Source organism: Homo sapiens, chromosome 2 (assembly GCF_000001405.40).
Source record: "Homo sapiens chromosome 2, GRCh38.p14 Primary Assembly".
In the NCBI taxonomy this organism is placed as follows: Eukaryota; Metazoa; Chordata; class Mammalia; order Primates; family Hominidae; genus Homo; species Homo sapiens.
In genome coordinates, this window is record NC_000002.12 from 192,212,041 (window position 1) to 192,218,040 (window position 6,000).

Here is a 6,000-nt window from a genome sequence, read left to right on the forward strand (position 1 = left end):
ATTGGGTATGAAGTTTCAACTCGTGAATTCTGGGGGAAGACACAAACATTGAGACCATAGCAGAATGGTAAAGGATAGCTTTTACTCCACTAACTTTGTTGCAGAACCATGCCCACTGTGTTAACCAGGCTGCTATTACAAAATGTCACAAACTGGCTAAACAACATTTATTTTCCACAGTCCTGGAGGCTAGGAAGTCCAAGATCAGGCACCAACAGATTCAGTGTCTGGTAAGGGACCTCCCCTTGGTTCATAGATGGCACTTTTCTCAGTATGTCTTCATGTAGCGGAGGAGGTGAGGGGTCTCTTTCAAACCTCTTTTATATGGGAACTTACCCCATTCATGAAGGCTCTGCCTCCATGACCTAATAACCTCCCAAAAGCTGCATCATCTGATATCATCACCTTGGACTTAAAAACTTTATTACATGAATCTTGGGAGGACATAAACATTCAGACCATAGCACCTACTCAAATGAGCCACAAAATAAAAGCAATTATAATAGCCAAATGTTCTCATTTTTTCATAAACAAGTAAATCAATGAAAAGATTGCTTATGTATTGAAGTATAGCTCAACATACATACAATCAATAATTTTAGATGGCATATATATTTTAAATCTGCACAAATATTTAAATCATAGTCATTGCTGAAACCTCTTGTTTTTTCACTAAGCAGGAAAATAATGGCTCAAAGGAAAGGAGAGAAAAATAAAGAAAAATGGACCCTATATTCCCTTTGCTTAATAACATGAATCTTCACTTTCCTTAAGGTGACTAACCTCCGGAATATTCATGTTTCCTGAAATGTATGGCACATACTGTGGTTTTTTTTTTTTTCTTCTTGCCATTTGATGATTTGTCCTTTTCTTCTCTTGGCTGTATATTCACCTCTTATGCCCTAATCCAGGCATTTTCTAAGGTTTTTGTTCTTGACTGTCCCTCTTTTACCTTCCTTTCCCATTTGTCATTATCCTCTATTCTCAAGATTAAATAATTTCCACTAAATGAATGATTTTTAAGCCTTTATCTATGGCTTATTTTCTCTTTCTCAAGAAACAATTTGCATTTTAACCTTTTGGAAATTTTGATGTAAGATGTATAATTACCAGTGTCAACATATTTAAAACTTTCCCTGACATTCCCTCCAATTTTCTCCTAAATGTTTTTCTAACCCCACTCTTTCTGTGTTATCTGTGTGCTTTCATCCTGGTTACCTTCTATAACAACAGTTTATATCACAGGACTCACAGGTAGAGGACTATCAGGAAGGGATTGTATCATCAGGCCCTACTTGTTGAAGAGCCTGTAATGAAGCATTTATGTAGAGTCTTTATCAAAAAACCGTCTGATACCTATTTATCTGACAATAAGAGATCATGATCATCATTATTTCATCAAGTGAGATTATAGATGTGAAATCTGTCTCTAAAGTCTAAAGAAAGGCTCAAATATGATGCATTTTTACTTATTTATTTTGTGGTGTATTTTCATCATTAAACTTTTTGAAATCACACACAATGCTACCAAGGTGAAGAAGCAAAATTGCAAATACTCCAAGTTGAGGTCAGTTACTGCTTTTTTTAAACCATTGCTATAGGAAATACCCATGGCAACAGGTAATTTTAGTTTCTTCTATTTGTCTTGTTTTCTGAATTATATATTTTTGCTCTTTTAGAAACAATTCTATGCTCTATTTTAAAGACACATACATACATAACTTTTTCTCCTGTTTACATTTATTACATATTAAATTGCCTTAGTAATTTTTACAAAAAGTAAATATTTAATGAAGAGCAAATTTATTGAGTTTCCCCCTAAATAGCAGACTGGTATAGTTGCTGTCTTCAAATGCCTATTTTCAATTTCTCAATGATCCTTTATACTTGACAAAACCTACCCAAACTGTAGAAAATGTTTTCTTTTTTAATTGAAAACTTATCACTTCAATCTCTATGTGATCTGAATACTGGTTGAACAGTGAATGGAGGAATAAAAAAAAATGACATATTTAAATATTTCTAATTTTTCTTCTGTTTAATGAAAAATCTTTTGAAAAAAATTTAACAGCTCTATTATCTTTGGAAAGTCATAAAATTTTACATAGCCTTTGTTTGAATCCCAGTTCCACCACTTAGTGGCTGTAAGAATTTGAGCACGCTACTTTATATCCCTGTGTTTTTGATTTCTCATATGTAAAATAAAATGCGGAAGTAAAAGGATTGTCAAGAGAAATACACTGAATAAAATATAATAGACAACACTGAAGAACTTCACTTAGTGTCTGGCATATAGTAAGCGCTCAGTAAATTTTAGCTGCTATCAAGAAAATATTATAGGATGAGAACTAAGAATTTAGAAACACCTTAACAGGGGAATTTTCTTATTTCACTCATATCACAGAATGTTATAATTTTTCTGTGTACTAGCATAATGTATGGAAGAGTGATTGTACTGAGAACATTTTTAAAAATCTGTCTGTATAAGTTGTTTTAATCCATTACAAATGTTTTCTGATTTCTCCTTTACTAAATTCTTTGTATCCAAACAATATGAGGCTTTTACGTTGTTAGTCTCCTTTCTATATTTTTATTTGTGGAGGAAAATATATCTAAGTCATGATGTTGGAATATTAAGATAATAAGCACTTACACCCAGATTAATACAAAAAGAATATCATAAAATTAATTTTATTTAATAAAGTATAAAGACATCAATATATTTTCCATTTTGAAGGCTTACTGGAACGTGTAAAATTATCATAATCAATAATGATAATATAAATCTTAATTCTGAGAAAGCATAAAACCTAAAGTTCTTCCTAAAATTAAACAATGTTTCCTTCACTGTGTTTTAAATCATGGAGCAGATTATTTACAAACATCATAAACTGTAAAGAAATGCAATATTTATTGCACCCAGGAAGCTGCTACAACAGAGACTGAAAAAATTTAATCAAGCCTATAATTAAATTATTTTAAGCCAATTAGTTATTCTCTAGTAAGTGTTTCATTAGACAATAGCACTGTGTGTTTATGTCAGATTTCTTTTCTTGCTAAGAAAGAAGAAGTAGTAGATTTTTTTGATGGACATTTATTTATCCTTTTTAATGTCATTTAAAAATTAAAAGGAAAACATTGATGTGATGTTTCTGCTTTTTAGTTTGACAGATAATCTCTCTGCCTTTAGTAAAATAGAGGACTTAATCAGAATTGTTAGCTACAACACTTAAATTGTGTAGTTCACTACTGAGGTTGTGCCAGGAAAAAGAGTGACATCACTCTACATAGGTCTAGCTCACTGCTTCATTCATAGCCCTTCTTAGTAGTGCAAGCTTCCCTGGGTATTGCAAAAATGATGGTGCCTTCATCATTTAGAGATGCACAAGTTTAATAAAATTCCAAGGATTTTATCTGGTTTTCCAGCTGAATCTTTTAATAATATTAGAATGAAGGAGATTTGTTTTTAAGGTTGATTTCTTTTTTCTTCTAAAAGCATGAAATCTGAACAGATGGGATCTCAGATCCAGCTTAGTGAGAACTGAAGTTGTTTCATACACTTTTTTTTTGTCTTTAGAAACAAAAACTAACAGCATTAATTTAGCCTGAATCTGTACAGTACTAGTATTGTCCATCATAGATAGCTCAATGATGAAGTGTTAACTGCAGCTGCAGATTCAGTATCTAGGCCTTTGTTGTATTTCTTTTTTTTTTAGGAAGCTATTAATGAGATTCTTTTTTAGTTTAAGGCCATCTCCCTCCCTTTTTATTTGCATTTGCTCTTTCAAGAAAATACTTAATTTGCTAAAACCTGGCATCAGTAATAAGAAGGACACTTTAATAAAGTATTTCGGAATTAAGCTTGAACTAATTCTCAGTTATTACCTATTTCCTTTAGGAGGAGGAAATAAAATATTATATACTGTTAAATTTATGATTATATTTATCAGCAGTTATTTATAAACTTCTTTCTTGCTATTGCCTACCTTGATGGGTAAATCACTGTAATTAAGTAACAGAATGCCTCCTGTGTTAGGTGTGATATAACTTAGATTCTCCTAGGTTCTCATTTGCTAAAAATCTATTTTATATCTTTACAATATGAGAGTATTTCTCAATATAACTTCAGATATTTAGGGCATTAATTAGATATTTAAAAAGTGTTCAGTGTCATCTGATGGTAGTTTTTTGAGCAATCATCATATATTCGCTAATCAGATAATAAAAATTATTACATCATAGAATTTTAGAACCCAAAAGAAACATAGGGCTTATATAGCCCTACTCTCTTGGTTTTCAGATGAGGCACTACATGTCCAGGGAGGTGAGGTGACAGACGTGAGTCACATGCCTGGCCAGTGACCATGTCAAGATGAGAATCCTAGTGCCAATCCAATCTGTTTTTTGTTACCTCATAATAGTCCTCAGTGGACTTGGTCCTTTTGTTGTCGATTTTTCCCCAATACACAGTTATATTCATTGAATTTGACACTCTAGTTATGTTAATTATATAAACCACAATTTATCCATTGCATGAGAGCAGAATAAAGCTATTCATACATGCCAAGGTTTAAGAACGCTTTAGACAATGCAGTGTATTGTGTTTTGCAAATAAAGACATTAAAATGTTTACATGCTGTGAGCTAAAAGCTCATGGGTACCTGTAAATACCAGAAGGAAAGCTTCTCAAAAAAATATGAAATACTTGAAAATGTCTTGTGTCAATTGGTTTTTGTTATTCTTTTTACTTCATTACCTTGGTGTCTTCAGTTCTTTATAGTTTGTAATCATTTATTAATAGTTTTTGATACAATTCTACATTTCTTTTAGTGTAGTCAACAAAACACAAACTTAAATTATACCCTTAATTAGAATTATTAATTCTGGAGGCTCTTTCTAAACTTGTCATTCACTTAAATATTTTGGTAAAAATACATTTATTTTTTGTTCTAACCTTCATAAATACCACCCATTCTGTATTGTAACTATGAAAATGTTTGAGCACGCAGAAAACATACTACTTACCAAATAGATTTCAGTCTGAGATGCTTAAAGTGAAGCAATTAATTCTAAAGAATTCTTATGTATTTGTATTACCACTTTACTAACAGGTGTCCAGCAAGCATTCTTGTGTGTGTGTGTGTGTGTGTGTGTGTGTGTGTGTGTGTGTGTCTATATCTATCTGTCTAATGTATCTCGTATTCATGCTTCAAAATCTCACTTAAATGTCACGTCTAAGAAGAAGATTATCTAGTCCCCTACCCAAAGCCAACCTAGCTGCTCTCTTCACTTTATACTGGGAGTAAGATGCTCAATACAATTACCCACGTACCTTTCTGAGTCTTAATCTAGACTGCAAACTCTTGAATTGTGGGCCTCCATCATATTCTTATTGTTTATTACTTTGCCTGGAATATAACAGATACTCAATGACATTTTTGCTGAATTAATACAATAATGTCTTAATAATAAGACAATAAATTAATAAAATAATTTAGTACCATATAATTATATAGAAACTCTAGGAAATTCAAATAGAACGAGAACAAAATACCCTACATTTAGGTGATAAATGATAAAGCCTGAATCTAGAAATATGTACATAGATTAGTTGTAATGACTATCAGAGCTCTAAAACTACATTTTAATTCCAAAATAATTTTGCATTTCTGTACAGAAAAGAGTGAAGTATGACTTATCAACTTAGAAATGTCTTATTTAACTATTTATCCCTAATGATTTTTACTTTCACTTATTTTATAAATTACATTAGGTAAGATACAAGTATAATTTCTTTAATGCAATTAGGTCAACATTTTTCCTGAAAAAATCCTTTCCTGTTCTGTTTTTAGGGCAACTTGCCTAAAATTATTTCAGTGTCTTTTGAGCTGTTTATCTCCAACATTTAAAAATATATTTTGGCCGGGCGCGGTGGCTCACGCCTGTAATCCCAGCACTTTGGGAGGCCGAGGCGGGCGGATCACGAGGTCAGGAGATCGA